Genomic DNA, 15,090 nt, shown 5'->3' with positions numbered 1-15,090 from the left:
GGAGTGAATCACCGCGCAGAGCTGACGCGGGCGGGGCCGGAGCCGGGCCAGGTGGCTGCCGCCCCGGAAGCCCCCTCGCCCCGCCCCCCAAGGATACTCCCAGCCTGGCGCACAGCCCCCGGGGCGCCCCATCGCAGGGGTGCTTGGCAGCTCCAGGTACCAGGAGCAGTAATAGCGGGACCCTTCGCCTTTTTGGAATGCAAATGCACCCGAGACAGCTTCAGCTTAGAACCGCGGGAATCTGGCTTTGGGATGGAGTGACTCAGTTTCCTTAACTGAATAAAACGGCCGAGGCAGAGTTAAATCCGAAAGACTTGGGGCCCAGTATGTTGCCAGAATTCGGAATATTTTTGATTTCAGAAAGTTTTCCCATGCATATACTCTCAGCGGGGTTTGGAGCTGCCGCGTTACAAAAAAAAAAAAAAAGGGCCAGGCGCGGTGGCTCACGCCTGTAATCCCAACACTGGGAGGCCGAGGCGGGTGGATCACCTGAGGTCGGGAGTTCGAGACCAGCCTGACCAACATGGAGAAACACCGTCTCTACTAAAAATACAAAAATTAGCTGGGCACGGTGACGCATGCCTGTAATCCCAGCTACTCGGAAGGCTGAGGCAGGAGAATCGCTTGAACCCGGGAGGCAGAGGTTGCGGTGAGCCAAGATCATGCCATTGCACTCCAGTCTGGGCAACAAGAGCGAAACTACGTCTCAAAAACAACAACAACAACAAAAACGGTATTTCTTCAAGAAAAGGTATGAACGTTCACAATAACTGGGTAAGGATTGAAAAGTGTTCCTCGGCTGGGCGCAGTGGCTCATGCCAGTAATCCCAACACTCTGGGAGCCTCAGGTGGGAGGATCGCTTGAGCCCAAGAGTTGGAGATCAACCTCGGCAACACAGTGAGACCTCATCTCTACAAATAATTTTAAAAATTAGCCCAGGCGGCCGGACGCGGTGGCTCAAGCCTATAATCCCAGCAGTTTGGGAGGCCGAGGTGGGCAGATCACGAGGTCAGGAGTTCGAGACCAGCCTGTCCAACATGGTGAAACCCCGTCTCTACTAAAAATACACAAAAAATGAACCGGGTGTGGTGGCGCTCGCCTATAATCCCAGCTAGTCAGGAGGCTGAGGCAGGAGAATCGCTTGAACCTGGGAGGTGGAGGTTGTAGTGAGCCAAGATTGCGCCACTGCACTCCAGCCTGGGCGACAGAGCAAGACTCCGTCTCAAAAAAAAAAAAAAAAAAGAAAAAAGAAAAAAATTAGCCCAGGCATGGTGGCACGTGCCTGTAATCCCAACTACTCGGGAGGCTGAGGTGGGAGGATTGCTTGAGCCTGGGAGTTCAAGGCTGCAGTGAACCATGATCAGACCACTGCACTCCTGCCTGGGCAACAGAGCAAGACCCTGTCTCCAAAAAAGGAAAAACAAAAAGAAAGGAAGAAAGAAAATTGTTCCTCGTTAGATCAGGTCAGGTTTTGTAACCAAATAGTGCCTATCTTGTGGGAAAACCATCAGTTTCCAGAGCTTTTTGTTTTTGGATAATGGATTGTGGACAGTGGAATAAACCTCTGAGCAGTGATGAGAATAAGACCCTGCCAGTGTAAAGGCTGTGTGAGAATAGGGGTTGGTGAGCATTGAGTTGCTCAGAAATAGGGCAAGCATTGTTTCAAGTGTTAGAGCCCAAGGCCAGGAGCAGTGGCTCATGCCTGTAATCCTAGCACTTTGGGAGGCCGAGGTAGGAGAATCACTTCAGCTCAAGAGTTCGAGACCAGCCTGGGCAACGTAGTGAGAGCTTGTCTCTATTTTAAAAAAACATATTTTGTAGTAGTGTTAGAGCCCAGAGAGCCCAAGGTCTGATTCTGTGTTCTGCAATCCCAAGGAAGTCCTGGCCCTAAATGTTGGGCCTCAGTTTCCTGGTTCTGAAGAGAGGGGCCAGTCAGCACAATCGTACATGAGGAATAGGAAAGTTTATTTCTGGGGGATTGGCAAGATGAATGGATGGCTCCTGGGGTGCAAGGCTGGGTGACATTTGTAGACACTTTGTTTGTATTTATTTATTTTTTAGTAGAGACAAGGTCTCGTTATGTTGCTCAGGCTGGTCTTGAACTCCTGACCTCAAGCAATTCTCCCGCCTTGGCCTCCCAAAGTGCTGAGATTACAGGCGTGAGCCACTGCGCCTGGCTAAGTGTGTTATTTTGAGCAAGTAATTTCCCCCAGCTCAGCCTTAATTTCTGCATCTAAGACATGCATCTCGTCTCCTGGAATCAGGATCCCAGAGGTACCCTGAGGGACACACTCTCCAGACTAGAAGTTGTTTTTATTCTCATCTCATTTGAAGTGGGGGAGAATCATAACTGGATGGCCAGGAGGATTCAACCCAAGGGCCTGCCTGCTCTCTCTGCCAACACAGGGCCCCTCAAAACTAAGGAAAGAGCTCCCCTCTTTCAGCCCCGGTTGCCGGAAGAGTGAGTGAATAGTGGAAGGGATGAAACATACTTTTCCTAGTGATGAGTATGTGCTTTCCAACTCTGTGAGGACACGTCTGAATTTCTGAAACAAGATGAACCTGGTTCCACTTCAACACCTTTGCACTTGCTATTCCCCCTGCTGTCAATGCCCTTCACTCAGTGCTTCATATACCTGGCTTCTGGTCATTCAGGTTGCAGCTCAAGAGTTATGTCTTCAAAGAGGCCAGAAGCTCACCATCATCTCCCACAATGTAACCTCCTTTTGCTAGCTTCATAGCTTCATGACTCTCACTTCTCTCTGAAATTGTCTTTTTTTTTTTTTTTTTTTTTTGAGAAGGAGTTTTGCTCTTGTTGCCCAGGCTGGAGTACAATGGCACAATCTTGGCTCACCGCAACCTCCACCTCCCGGGTTCAAGCGATTCTTCTGTCTCAGCCTCCTGAGTAGCTGAGATTACAGGCATGTGCCACCACACCAGGCTAATTTTGTATTTTTAGTAGAGATGGGGTTTCTCCATATTGGTCAGACTGGTCTCGAACTCCTGACCTCAGGTGATCCGCCTGCCTTGGCCTCCCAAAGTGTTGGGATTACAGATGTAAGCCACGAGCCTGGCCTTTTTTTTTTTTTTTTTTTTTTTTTTGAGATAAGGTCTCACTGTCACTCCAGCTAGAGTGGAATGGTGCAATCATGGCTCACTGCAGCCTTGACCTCCCAGGCTCAAGTGATCCTCCCACCTCAGTGTCCCAAGTAGTTGGGACTACAGGCATGAGCCACCACTCCCAGCTAATTTTTAAACTTTTTGTAGAGACAAGGTCTATGTTGCCCAGGCTGGTATCAAACTTGTAGGCTCAAACAATCCACCCGCCTCCGCCTCCCAAAGTACTGGGATTACAGGCACAAACCACCATGTCTGGCCTGAAGTTTTTTTTTTTTTTTTTTTTTTTTTTGAGACTGATTCTCGCTCTGTCACCCAGGCTGGAGTGCAGTGGTGCGATCTTGGCTCGCTGCAACCTCCACCTCCTGGGTTCAAGCAATTCTCTGCCTCAGCCTCCCGAGTAGCTGTGATTACAGGCACCTGCTACCACACCTGGCTAATTTTTGTATTTTCAGTAGAGACGGGGTTTCACCATCTTGGCCAGGCTGCTCTTGAACTCTTGACCTCGTGATCCACCAGCCTCGGCCTCCCAAAGTGCTGGGATTACAGGCGTGAGCCACCACGCCTGGCCTGGTTTTTTATTTATTCATTTTCTCGTCTTTTTTGTCTGACATCTGTCTACTCTCATTACATACATCAGCTACACAAAGAAATTTTATGTCTTGTTCCTCCAGCATCTCCACAGTACCTAGCACAGTGCAACATATACAGTTGGGGTTCAATTAATACTTGTCAATGCAGGTGAAATTGAGAGGACAGACTTGGGAATCAGGCCTTGATTAAATCGTGCTTTGACCCTCCTCTCTGTAGCTATCTGCACTCCCTGGGCCTCACTTTCCTCCTCTGCGAAATGGACATATTCGGATAGTTGAGTAGATGTGCAACTATTGTAGATGAAAATAAATATTGCAATAAAGCCAGTAGCAGGGATAAAACTAAGTACATGGTGGCTGGGGTTACTATTATTAGTCTCCTGGGTGTGACTGTATTTATAGACTGGGGCTCTTGAGCCCTTTGCTGACTTCTGAAGAACCACACCTCCACCAGGCTCTAAGTCAGGGGTAGCTGGAAGCCACCCTGGCACACTTCCCCACAATGTCTATCTACAGCTCTAACCACTCAAGTGTTCACCTCTTCACCCTCCAGCTCCCAGCTCTCGCAGCTTGTCTTCACCGTTCCTCTTTCCTCTCCAAGGCCACCTGGACTCTCGCATTCCGGTCCTTTAAATTCTTTCTTCCTTCCCCGTCCCCTCCCCACAGGGGCGAAAGTTGCCCATTCCGTCAGACCACAGCTTCCCTCCTGTGGGGGGATGGGGCCGAGTGCTCAGGATGTGGTGACAGCGGAGGTGACTGGACATTTCTGTCCTCTGCCAGCGCCTTCCTCGCGGCTACCCCGGTTGGAGTCCCGCTGGCCATATAAGCCCTGGCTGTAGGGCTCTGTTCCCAGGGTGAAGGAAACTCTGGGCCTCTCCCGTGCCGGGAACGCCCAGTGTGTGGCGTGTGCACACAAGCCCGGCTGCAGTTCTTCACCATGTACGGAAAATGGGGGCACGGCCCAAAGGTTCTAACAGCCTTTTTTAGCCCGGCCCGTCCAGGGGCGCTGACTCACACCTTCCCCACTCCGCCCCAAAGGGGGCTCCAGGACCCCAGCCGGTGCCCGGAGAGTGGTAGCCTACGTGCCAGCAAAAGCTGGCAGACTAGGCCGGAAGTGGGAGACCGCAGGCCTCTGGCGAAGGAAGCTGCCCTGCTTCTAGGCTTCTAGCCTTGCTATCCCGACGTCAGCTGAGGGTCTGTATGATTCCGAGACAGGACTGTGGATACACTGGTGCAGTCCTGCCACGACAGGCTCACCTCTGCATTCTCCATGCCATGCACAATAATTTATGTGTGAGACCCTGTACACCTCCAAAAAGGTGAAATTAATGAATAAGGAGAGGAGCAGGAGACGGCGAAGAGAAAAAGAAAGCACGCCAGACTGAGGACCGGCAGAAGCAAAGATAACATGTGCAAGCAGGAAAGCAGCAGCACGAAGCTCGTCAGCGATTACTCAAGCAGGATCGACCCACCTGCTCCTTTACAGAGTGGCCCGGGCAGCCCCACCCCGCCTCGAGCGCCTGGCAAGTCAAGACCGGATCGAACCATTTTATTACCTCCCCCTCCCAGAACCAGAAGCGCAGGCTAGCCGGCTGGAAGGGTCGTACCACTGACGCTGCGAGGGGAGTGTGGTCAGAGCCACTGAGCAGCGGGTGGGGGGACCAAACCAAGTGGAAGCTCTTGGGGAGGTGCCAAGTGCCCAGCGGCCACACGCGCCGGATCCAGGTTGGGCGGTAACTAGTGAGCCCCGCGCTGTCAGAGGTAGGCTCAGTGTCTCCGCCTTCCGGCTGCCATCTCCTGAGCGAGCTGCGCTGCCCCCCGGACCCCTAGGGCCCGCGAGAGCCGTTCCTCGCTGGGCACTAGCCAGGGCCCCGGGGAACCCGGGATCTGGTCGTTGGGATCCTCAGCGCGGCGCTCAGGAGGAGAAACCGTGGGGCCATCGGCGGCCGCCTCTGGACTAGGCTCCGGGCTGCCCCGGGTCTTCTTGAGCGTCGTCCGGGATGGAGGGTGCTGAACTAGGGAAGTGCTGCTGCTGCGAGACCCCGTTACCTCCGGCCCTCCAGGATCTGGGCTGCGATCTGGCCATGACGGGACTACGGATTAGATTGGGTGGTGAAGTAGGGAAGGGAAATCCAGGCCTTTGGCTGAGGATGGACAGGAGAACCCAAAGGCTGCGGGAGATGAGACCCTGACCCTTAGAGAAATCTCCCCTCCAGGCCTTCTGGGATCGGCACCACCCCTCACAACCCCGACACCTCCTTTCCCGAGACCCCTCCCCTCCTGGATCCAGAACATGCCCCTCAGAAATCATTTCCCACAATCTCCAAAGGAAATCAAACCCCGCTCATCTAGGAGCCCCTGCTCTCTCCTCTCTCATCCCACCTCCGTTGACTCCCAAACCACCGACCCTTTGTTTTTCAGAACTAGACCCCCTACCCTCTGGATCCCCATCCCATTTTCCCCCGGCTAAGATCCACTCTGCCTTCGCCTCTGAGAACTAAGACCCTTCCTTCCAAACACTTGCTTTTATCCTAGACCCCTTCCCTTCTCTTCCCCCAGTACCTGGAAAACCCACCCTCTGAAATTCCTATCCTCGAGACTGACACCCCTCCCTGCCCCTACGTTATTCCTATCCTGGGACCCTGTACCCCTCCCTGCCCCTACTTGTGAGAATACCATGACCTCTTGCAGACCCTCCCCACAGAGACCACCAAACCCTTCCCACCCAGAATCTCAGCTTCTCCACTCTGTGAACCTCTCCCTTCTCCTCACTGATCTCTGACTTCTCTCCCTTGGGAAACCCACCAACTCCTTTTCGGGGCTCTCCCACCCCTCGAGGCTTGCCAGGGTGGGTCTCCAGAGGCCGACGAATAACCAGGTGGAGCTGGGGGCCTCCAGCTCGGATCCGCTCCACGGCCTGGGCATGGGTGAGGCCCTGCGTTGACTCTCCGTTGATGTGGAGCACGAGGTCCCCGACCTGGAGGAGTGCAATGCAGTCGTGTTGGAAAGGCAAAAGGAGAGCACCCCAACAAAGGCAGGGATAGCACCTACCAGTGGAAGGGGCTTCAGGGCTCACCTCCAAACGACCACAGCGCTGTGCTGGGCCATCCTTCAGCAGCCCGCGCACGGCCAGCGGAGTGTCCCCAGCTACATCCCGGCCCCCACCTAAGGTGAGGCCAAAGCCTGCGTAACCGCGAACCAGCTCCACAGAGAAATGACCAGAGGCCTGGGATGGCTTCGGAGCACTACGTGCCTTACCCTGGATCAATTGGGGAGGTGCGTTACATGTCTCTAACCAACGGTGCTGGAATAAAGGACACAGGTGTACATAGTTTGCCCTGAGGCAGGAGGCCTCCGATAGAAGGATGAGATGGTACCTGGGGCCGGTGATCCACAATAGTGGCATGAGGCAGGCGACTGTCTGTGACCTCTATGTCCGCAGAGTCCAGCACGCTAACAGCTGGGAGATAAAAGCAGTGGAGAGGGCTGTTGGGGGACATGCCATGGAAACTACCTAGGACCTGTTCCCTGAGTTAACATTCTAGCCTCATCTACTTGTCTTGCCCCTGCAGCTCATATACAAACTGGCCCACCATTTACGCACCATCCCCTCAAGTAATCTTAAAGGTTCTCAGCCCAAACAAATTAACTGTTCTGACCCCACCTTCTTAATAAACAATCCTGGGCTCAGCCATGTGAATAATCTTCCAGGCCTTCCTATCTCCCTCTAATAACACGCAGAACACATCCCTCAAACAACACCATTCGGCCCACCCTGGAGAATGCTACTCCAAAATTTGGCTCCTGAACCTTCCATAGCACGCCCTCTAATTAGCCTCTAACCCTCATCCCATTCCTGACATCTCAAGCCCCGCCCCCATGGGACTATAGGCTCCACCCCCGTGACTCACATTTCAGGCCTGCCCCTTCGCTGCGTGCCCGCCCCCCAAGCACTCTCCAGGCCCTGCCTCCTCAAAAAGGACCGCCGCCAGAACGGGGGTCCAGTTCCGCACTCTCATCTAATCTAGCCCTCGCCGACTGCAATAACCCTCAAGGAATATGCTAGAATAACCCCAAGGCTCCTCCCACTCGAAGCACCCTCCGATCCCCGCCCCAAGTCGCGCCCCTTGGCCCCACCCAAGACAGGGCAGTAGCTGCTGACCCCCCAGGCCTGTCCCACTGAACCCAACTCCTCTCCGAACCCTCCCCCAGCGGAGGCCCTGCGCCAGTCACTCACCCTCCTTCCGGCGCAGGCGCAATGTGGCGCCCGCCCTGCGTACCAGCGCTGCCACGTCGACCGCAGCTCGCGCCGCCAGGGGGCGCGCGTCCAACCGCGCCAGGAGCTGCCGGGCGCTAGGGCCCGCGAGCGGGGAGGGGCCGCGGCCTGCGCGCAAGAGGGGACAGGTCAACGCCGACCCTCGGCCTCGGCCAACCCCTATGCTTCCGGACGCTCGAAGACCTAGAAATGCCCCTCAGGATACCCGGCGACCCCTGGCCACTCCCTCGATAGTTTCGGAGGTCACTGCTGTCCCTCCCCTCACGCGATCCCCGACCGTCGCGGGTAGCCGGTGCACCCCCGCTTGCTCCCACGGTGTCCCTGGAGATCGCTGTTTGACTGCAATAGTCCTAGACACCTCCGAACACCCCGTGAGGTCCTCGACTGCCCCCTAATCACCCTGGATGCCCAACTCTTCGCCCGCGATATCTCAGGGGACCCCATTTCCCCAGATATCCTGGGAGAACACGGCCTGACCCCATAGCCCCGGAACCCCCAATTCCCCGTCTAAGTATCCTAGGCAACCGCTGCTACCCCCATGAATTCCCTCAGAGGGCCCGTTCCCCCCATGGCCCACATACCTCCAGAGTCCCCCTCCACAGGTCCCCAGGGGCCCCCAGCTCCCCTCCCCCCAGTTCACTAAGACCCTGAGTGCCCAGGTGTCCCCAGTGACCACGGGCAGACCCCTCCCCGCACATCTGCACGTCTCCCTGGAGACTCCTGAGAGCCCCTCCCCTGCTCTGGTGCGCGGCCCTTTCCCTCGTGTGTGGGTGTGGGTAGGGGACCTCCAGCCCAGCCTCCATCGCTGGGCCCCTGCCCCCTGCCACCTTCACTTGGGCGCCAGAGCCGCTCTGTTTACCACCTGTCAGAAGGAAAAGGTGTGGAGCAGACAGGCGGGACGGGGATGGCGGCGACTCGCCCTGTCCTTCCCCAACGACCCCAATCCCTGTACCTCCTCTGCTCCCCCTAGGGTCCGCGGCGTCCCCTGTGCGCGGCTCCATGGCCAGTAGTCCGCCGGGTGGACGCAGGGCTGCCAGCTACGAATTTTGAGCTCTGGGGCGCGCTCACCTGGCGGCCCGCCCAGGCCCTGGAGGCTGAAGCTGGCGGGTCCCGTGCCTGGCTCCCGGACCCGCGCGGTGACCTACCTGGCGGCCAGCAAGGAGGCCTGGCTGTAGGAGCCAGGAGGAGTGCTTGGCCTCACTCTGCTGCAGGCGCCGCACTCTGTTAACTAAAGGTCCTAGTTAGAATTTAAAAGCCTGACAATACCAACTGTTGCTGAAGATATGGAGGAAATGGAACTCCTATACCTCCGGTGGAAATGTAAAATGATATTGCAACTTTATTTATTTATTTAGAGACAGGGTTTCGCTCTTGTTGCCCAGGCTGAAGTGCAATGGCACGATCTCGGCTCACTACAACCTCTGCCTCCCGGGTTCAAGTGATTCTCCTGACTCAGCCTCCTGAGTAGCTGGGATTACAGGCATGCACCACCACGCCCCCCTAATTTTGTATTTTTAGTAGAGACGGGGTTTCTCCATGTTGGTCAGGCTGGTCTCGAACTCCCTAAAGTGCTGGGATTACAGGCGAGGCCCGCCTCAGCCTCCCAAAGTGCTGGGATTACAGGCGTGAGCCACTCGTGCCCGGCCTGCAACTTTAGAAAACAGTTTGGTAGTGTCTTTAAAAACTAAGCGTACACATATGAGCCAGCCATTCCACTCCTGCGTATTTATCTAAAAGAAAGCATACATTTACACAGCCTTGTCTTACAAATATTCATAGCAGCTTTATTTCCTGTCTTATTCATTTAGAACTACTGTAACAAAATATCGTAGACTGGGTGGTTTAAACAACATAAGTTTCTCACAGTTCTGGAAGCCGGAAAGTCCACGATCAAGGTGGTAGCCAATTTGGTTCCTGGTGAGGTCTCTCCTTTTGGGTTGCAGATGCTTGCCTTCTTGCTGTGTCCTCACATGGAATTAAGAGAGTGAAGGAGAGTAAAGGCGTGAGAGAGGCACACACAGAGAGAGGGAGAGATCTCTCTCTTCTGTTTCTTATAAGGTCACAGTCCTATCTGGTTAGGGCTCCACCTTAGTGACCTCATTTTACCTTAGTTGCCTCCTAAAGAAGCTATCTTCAGATACAGTCACATTGGAGGTTAGAGCTTTAACATATATATTTATGGCTGGGCACAGTGGCTCACGCCTGTAATCCCAGCACCTTGGGAGGCCAAGGCGGGTGGATCACCTGAGTTCAGGAGTTCAAGACCAGCCTGGCGAACATGGTGAAACCCCATCTCTACTAAAATATACAAAAATTAGCCAGGCGTGGTGTCAGGTGACTTAATCCCAGCTACTTGGGAGGCAGAGGCAGGAGAATCATTTGAGCCCGGGAGGCAGAGGTTGCAGTGAGTGGAGATCGAGCCATTGCACTCAAACCTGGGGGATAAGAGCGAGACTTCTCTCAAAAAAACAAAACAACAACAACAACAACAACAAATATATATATATATATATATTTATGGGTGGACACAATTCAGTCCATAATATTTGTTAATATCCAAAAACTGGAAATAACCCAAATGTCCATTAATAGTTGAATGAGGCCAGTAATCGCAGCACTTTGGGAGGCTGAGGTGGGAGGATCGCTTGAGCTCAGGAGTTGGTGACCAGCCTTGGCAACATAGTGAAAGATTGTCTCTATTTTAAAAACATAGAAACATTGTCTCTATTTTAAAAATGCTAATGCCTGTAATCCTAGCACTTTGGGAGGCTGGAGGTGGAGGCAGGAGGATTGCTTGAGCCCAGGAGTTTGAGACCAGCCTGGGCAACATAGTGAGACCCCATCTCTCAAAAAGAAAACAATTTTCAATGAAAAAAATAGATGAATAAATTAACAAACTATGGTATACACATACAGGGTAATACAACTCAGCAATAAAAAACAATGAAGGATTTGGATGAATCTCAAAAATAATTATGGTAAAACAAGCCAGACCCACGCTCCAAAAAAGCACATGCTGTATGATTTCTTTTATATAAAAATCTAATAAAATGCAAACTGATATACAGTGACAGAAAGTGGATTAGTGGTTGCCTGGAGGGAGGGGGCCAAAAGGGCAGGAAAGAGGAAATACAAAGGGCAGGAGAAAACTTTTGGCAGAGATAGTTATACTCAGTATTTCTTTTTTTTTTTTTTAAGTGACAGGGTCACATTCTGTCATGCAGGATGGATTGCAGTGGCACAATCATAGTTCATTGTAACCTCAAACTCCTGGGCTCAAGGGATCCTCCTGAGCAGATAGGACTACACATATGTGCCACAATGCCTGGCAAATTTTTTACATTTTTGTAGAGACTGGGGTGGGGGGGTCTCACTATGTTGTCCAGGCTGGTCTTAAACTCCTGGCTTCAAAAAATCCTCCCACCTCTGCCTCCCAATGTGCTGGGATTACAGAGGTGAGCCACCACACCCAGCCTGTTCAGTATCTTCACTGTAGTGATCGTTTCACTGACATAAACATATTCAAAACCTATCAAATTGAAGTCAATTATATCTCAACCCCTTCAAAACTTAAAACAGCTGGGTGTAGTGCATGCACCTGTAGTCCCAGCTACTTGGGAGGCTGAGGCACGAGGATCACTTAAGCCCAAGACTTAGAGGTTACAATGAGCTGTGATCATGCCACTGCACTCCACCCTCAGTGACAGAGCAAGACCCTGTCTTTAAAAAAAATAAAATATAAATTCTCAAAACAGGCTGGGCATGATGACTCACGCCTGTAATTCCAGCACTTTGGGAGGCCAAGGTGAGAAGATCACTAAGGCCAGAATTTTCAGACCAGCCTAGCCAATGTAGCAAGACTTTGTCTCTAATAAATAAATAAATACAATCTTTTGTTAAATTAATGAATTGGGTGGGGCTGTGAGAGAAATTGACTTAATTCTTGAATTACATGAGGCTAAAAGGGGTAATTAGGGTTTTTTTAAATGATTTTTTTTTTTTTTGAGACAGAGTTTCGCTCTGTCACCCAGGCTGGAGTGCAGTAGTGCGAGCTCGGCTCACTACAACCTCCATCTCCTGGGTTCAAGCAATTCTCATGCTTCAGCCTCCCAAGTAGCTGAGACTAAAGGCACCCACCACCACGCCCGGCTAATTTCTGCAGTTTTAGTAGAGACAAGTTTTCATCATGTTGGCCAGGCTGGTCTCAAACTCCGCCCATCTCTGCCTCCCAAGGTGCTGGGATTACAGGCATGACCCACCGTGCCCAGCTGGGTAATTGGGTTGTATTCACAAATGGATGAGGCTAAGAGGGGCATTGATTTGAATCCACAGTGGGGCAGGGCTAAGTGAGGGTTTGCTCCCCCATAGTGTCATTGTAATCAATATTAAAGATAAGCACCAACACTGCTACCAAATAGCTTGGCTTGGCACAACACCAGCAATTTGGAAGCTTTGTTCCGAACTCTCTTGACAGTCTTACCATGCATATCTCATCACCCCCACTTCCCAGAGAGGTACATTGAGGTGTCAGGCAATGCAGTGGCTGGAGTTCCTCCCTCATGTCTGCATCCTCTCTACACCCCTAACCCTGCCAGCAGCCTCAGTGACACATACACTACTCTCTGGCCCTGGAATTTCGGCCCTGCTGGTGTCAGCTCTCTCAGTGAACACCTATCCTGGGCCCCTGCCCCTGTAATTTCAGCCCTGCTGGTGTCAGCTGTCTCAGTGAACACCTATCCAGCATCCTGGGCCCCCGCCCCTGTAATTCACGTCCCCTGAGGATGTCCTTGGACCCCTTCATTCGTTCATGATTCCCCAAGCCTGAATACCTCCCAGCCTGGAAGCAGTTTCCCATCCAGTTGGCAAGCTCCCTGATCGATGTTAGTAGATTCTACCTGGTGCTTGGATGCCTCCCCTCACTGTCCATCTGTCCTCGGCCCTTGGACAATGCCCCAGTCTGCAAGACCCTCCCATGCATGGAGCTACAGAGCCTCAAGCTCTCCTTCACAGTGTGTAAGCACCTCACTCTCACATCCACAGGTTCTTAAAACCTGGAGCCCCAGATTGGAAGCTGCCCTCTCCAGATTCAGGTGTGGAAGTCTCAACAAGAATTGGGAGGAGCAGTGAAGGAGGTCCAGGGTGTCCCCCCTTAGACAAGGTCAGGTCAGAGGTGAAAGAGGCAGGGGACTGCAGGTGGAATGAAAGCAGGAACCGTTCAGACCCTTTCACCTATGAGGATACTGGGTCTCTGAAAGGTGAACGGAGAGGCTTGCACAACCAGCCAGAATGGACATTAGGACACAGTGTGTCCACAGCCATAGTGAAATAGTCACTAACCAAGTGAGTCTTGTAGGTAAGCTGCCTGAAACTGGTGTTGTTGGCTTGCTGCAGGGACCTAGGCAGGTCCCTGAGCCTCTCAGACCCTGAGTTTCTTATTTGGCAAAGTAGTGGTGAAAGGCCCTCTCTCACTGCAATCCCATTCCTCCTTCCACTACAGTCACACTGTGTCCGAATGCTCCCTGCTTGGGGCTTATGTCCCCAGACACTCCCCTTTTCAAACATAGAAGAGGCCTCATTCCTCCACTGACATCAGCTAGTGTCCCATCCAACTCCAATGCATTCATTCACAGCCTCCTCAATTTTGGGTCCCATCTCTCATCCACTCTCCAAGGGACCTGCCCTCTGCAATTTTTTTTTCTTTTCTTTTCTTTTTCTTTTTCTTTTTTTTTTTTTTTTTCTTGAGAGGGAGTCTTGCTCTGTCACCCAAGTTGGAGTGCAGTGGAACGATCTCAGCTCGCTGCAACCTCCGCCTCCCAGGTTCAAGCGATTCTCTTGCCTCAGCCCCCCGAGTAGCTAAGATTACAGATGCCCACTACCACACCTGGCTAATTTTTATAATCTTAGTAGAAATGGAGTTTTGCCATGTTGGCCAGGCTGGTCTCAAACTCCTGGCCTCAAGTGATCCACCTGCCTTGGCCTTCCAAAGTGTTGGGATTACAGGCATGAGCCACCGCGCCCAGCCCACCCTCTCCAATTTTTGAGTTCCGCAACCTCATAATGCCCAGAGCACCAAACCATTCTTTGGCTCCAAAAGCTCCAACGGTACTCAGTCCCACCACACATTTCCAGTTTCCCAATAGGGACAGTGGGAGATAAACTTTCCCTGCAAATATACTGAGTGCCTACTTGTGCAAAGCTCTGGTGGAAATTGCAGAGTTTCCTAGTAAACTCGGGCTCCAGTTCTGCGTCCCTGCTTTTAGTTGTCAGAGGTCAGACAGTACCCTAATTTCTCTGGGCTTCGACTGCCCCTTCCTATGCTGGAATAGCAACATCCCAGAGTGGAAAAAGGAGCCAGCCCAGCGTCCTCAGCTAACGGAGGCCTCCTTGCTGGCCGCCAGATAGGCCACCCCGCAGATACAGGAACCAGGCACGGGCCCGCCACCCTGTTTCCAGGGTCTGAGCGGGTCACCAGGTGAGCACGCCCCAGAGCTCAAAACTCGTCGCTGGCTGCCCTGCGTCCACCCGGCCGACTACTGGCCATGGAGCCGCGCACAGGGGGCGCCGCGAACCCTAAGGGGAGCAGAGGAAGTACAGGGATTGGGGATGTTGGGGAAGGACAGAGCGAGTCGCCGCCACCCCCGTCCCGCCTGTCTGCTCCACACCTTTTCCTTCTGACAGGTGGTAAACAGAGCGGCTCTGGCGCCCAAGTGAAGGTGGCAGGGGGCAGGGGCCCAGCGATGGAGGCTGGGCTGGAGGTCCCCTACCCACACCCACACACGAGGGAAAGGGCCGCGCACCAGAGCAGGGGAGGGGCTCTCAGGAGTCTCCAGGGAGACGTGCAGATGTGCGGGGAGGGGTCTGCCCGTGGTCACTGGGGACACCTGGGCACTCAGGGTCTTAGTGAACTGGGGGGAGGGGAGCTGGGGGCCCCTGGGGACCTGTGGAGGGGGACTCTGGAGGTATGTGGGCCATGGGGGGAACGGGCCCTCTGAGGGAATTCATGGGGGTAGCAGCGGTTGCCTAGGATACCTAGAGGGGGAATTGGGGGTTCCGGGGCTACGGGGTCAGGCCGTGTTCTCCCGGGATATCTGGGGGAAATGGGT

The 15,090-nt window shown here is 53.2% G+C and overlaps 1 protein-coding gene across 4 annotated transcripts, besides 13 other annotated features; it reads right to left on the bottom strand.

Annotated features, from left to right (window-relative positions):
* Positions 4–103: a silencer, noted in NCBI's record as "silent region_20838". NCBI's record gives its function as "represses an Ori minimal core promoter by ATAC-STARR-seq in GM12878 lymphoblastoid cells {active_cell/tissue: GM12878}" and the evidence as "EXISTENCE:reporter gene assay evidence [ECO:0000049][PMID:35858748]".
* On the bottom strand, positions 3,104–9,213 carry MAGIX (MAGI family member, X-linked). 4 transcript variants are annotated; one of them, NM_024859.4, is made up of 6 exons: positions 8,940–9,120; positions 7,949–8,095; positions 7,089–7,171; positions 6,788–7,015; positions 6,517–6,688; positions 3,104–5,804 (listed from the first exon to the last, which is right to left on the bottom strand). In NM_024859.4, exons 1-6 carry the CDS (start codon positions 8,986–8,988, stop codon positions 5,479–5,481), a joined length of 1,005 nt encoding a protein of 334 aa, NP_079135.3. In that variant the 5' UTR covers positions 8,989–9,120; the 3' UTR covers positions 3,104–5,478. The 4 variants fall into 4 exon arrangements, with proteins under 4 accessions (NP_079135.3, NP_001382330.1, NP_001093151.2 ...); NM_001395401.1 differs by lacking the exon at positions 8,940–9,120 and adding an exon at positions 9,133–9,213 and having other exon boundaries at positions 6,788–7,171; NM_001099681.2 differs by lacking the exon at positions 6,788–7,015 and having other exon boundaries at positions 3,721–5,804; positions 8,940–9,035.
* Positions 4,132–4,712: a transcriptional cis regulatory region, noted in NCBI's record as "genic|chrX:49023505-49024085 region (GRCh37/hg19 assembly coordinates) targeted for CRISPR interference". NCBI's record gives its function as "positively regulates PLP2 gene expression in K562 cells {active_cell/tissue: K562}" and the evidence as "EXISTENCE:mutant phenotype evidence [ECO:0000015][PMID:31784727]".
* Positions 4,247–4,356: an enhancer, noted in NCBI's record as "active region_29634". NCBI's record gives its function as "activates an Ori minimal core promoter by ATAC-STARR-seq in GM12878 lymphoblastoid cells {active_cell/tissue: GM12878}" and the evidence as "EXISTENCE:reporter gene assay evidence [ECO:0000049][PMID:35858748]".
* Positions 4,377–4,506: an enhancer, noted in NCBI's record as "active region_29633". NCBI's record gives its function as "activates an Ori minimal core promoter by ATAC-STARR-seq in GM12878 lymphoblastoid cells {active_cell/tissue: GM12878}" and the evidence as "EXISTENCE:reporter gene assay evidence [ECO:0000049][PMID:35858748]".
* Positions 4,517–4,566: an enhancer, noted in NCBI's record as "active region_29632". NCBI's record gives its function as "activates an Ori minimal core promoter by ATAC-STARR-seq in GM12878 lymphoblastoid cells {active_cell/tissue: GM12878}" and the evidence as "EXISTENCE:reporter gene assay evidence [ECO:0000049][PMID:35858748]".
* Positions 4,617–4,706: an enhancer, noted in NCBI's record as "active region_29631". NCBI's record gives its function as "activates an Ori minimal core promoter by ATAC-STARR-seq in GM12878 lymphoblastoid cells {active_cell/tissue: GM12878}" and the evidence as "EXISTENCE:reporter gene assay evidence [ECO:0000049][PMID:35858748]".
* Positions 4,847–5,136: an enhancer, noted in NCBI's record as "active region_29630". NCBI's record gives its function as "activates an Ori minimal core promoter by ATAC-STARR-seq in GM12878 lymphoblastoid cells {active_cell/tissue: GM12878}" and the evidence as "EXISTENCE:reporter gene assay evidence [ECO:0000049][PMID:35858748]".
* Positions 4,847–5,905: a biological region, named in NCBI's record as "H3K4me1 hESC enhancer GRCh37_chrX:49022309-49023254". NCBI's record gives its function as "regulatory_interactions: PLP2".
* Positions 4,963–5,905: an enhancer, noted in NCBI's record as "H3K4me1 hESC enhancer chrX:49022309-49023254 (GRCh37/hg19 assembly coordinates)". NCBI's record gives its function as "activates a minimal SCP1, AML or CMV promoter by ChIP-STARR-seq in primed H9 embryonic stem cells {active_cell/tissue: H9 hESC(primed)}" and the evidence as "EXISTENCE:reporter gene assay evidence [ECO:0000049][PMID:30033119]".
* Positions 5,012–5,512: a transcriptional cis regulatory region, noted in NCBI's record as "genic|chrX:49022705-49023205 region (GRCh37/hg19 assembly coordinates) targeted for CRISPR interference". NCBI's record gives its function as "positively regulates PLP2 gene expression in K562 cells {active_cell/tissue: K562}" and the evidence as "EXISTENCE:mutant phenotype evidence [ECO:0000015][PMID:31784727]".
* Positions 7,431–7,931: a transcriptional cis regulatory region, noted in NCBI's record as "genic|chrX:49020285-49020785 region (GRCh37/hg19 assembly coordinates) targeted for CRISPR interference". NCBI's record gives its function as "positively regulates PLP2 gene expression in K562 cells {active_cell/tissue: K562}" and the evidence as "EXISTENCE:mutant phenotype evidence [ECO:0000015][PMID:31784727]".
* Positions 8,032–8,141: a silencer, noted in NCBI's record as "silent region_20837". NCBI's record gives its function as "represses an Ori minimal core promoter by ATAC-STARR-seq in GM12878 lymphoblastoid cells {active_cell/tissue: GM12878}" and the evidence as "EXISTENCE:reporter gene assay evidence [ECO:0000049][PMID:35858748]".
* Positions 14,351–15,049: an enhancer, noted in NCBI's record as "H3K4me1 hESC enhancer chrX:49019052-49019751 (GRCh37/hg19 assembly coordinates)". NCBI's record gives its function as "activates a minimal SCP1, AML or CMV promoter by ChIP-STARR-seq in primed H9 embryonic stem cells {active_cell/tissue: H9 hESC(primed)}" and the evidence as "EXISTENCE:reporter gene assay evidence [ECO:0000049][PMID:30033119]".

This window comes from Homo sapiens, chromosome X (genome assembly GCF_000001405.40).
Source record: "Homo sapiens chromosome X, GRCh38.p14 Primary Assembly".
In the NCBI taxonomy this organism is placed as follows: domain Eukaryota; kingdom Metazoa; phylum Chordata; class Mammalia; order Primates; family Hominidae; genus Homo; species Homo sapiens.
The sequence above is the reverse complement of the archived record's forward strand: the minus strand, read 5'-3'. Positions and strand labels throughout refer to the sequence as shown.

Bases quoted from the DNA above. Each gene is read 5' to 3' on its own strand.
- MAGIX (NM_024859.4), bottom strand. From the start codon at position 8,988: ATGGAGCCGCGCACAGGGGACGCCGCGGACCCTAGGGGGAGCAGAGGA. The intron at 7,016-7,088 runs GTACCATCTCAT...CCTTTATTCCAG, and splicing joins TTGTGGATCACCGGCCCCAG to CACCGTTGGTTAGAGACATG. The intron at 6,689-6,787 runs GTGAGCCCTGAA...GCACTCCTCCAG, and splicing joins AGCGCTGTGGTCGTTTGGAG to GTCGGGGACCTCGTGCTCCA.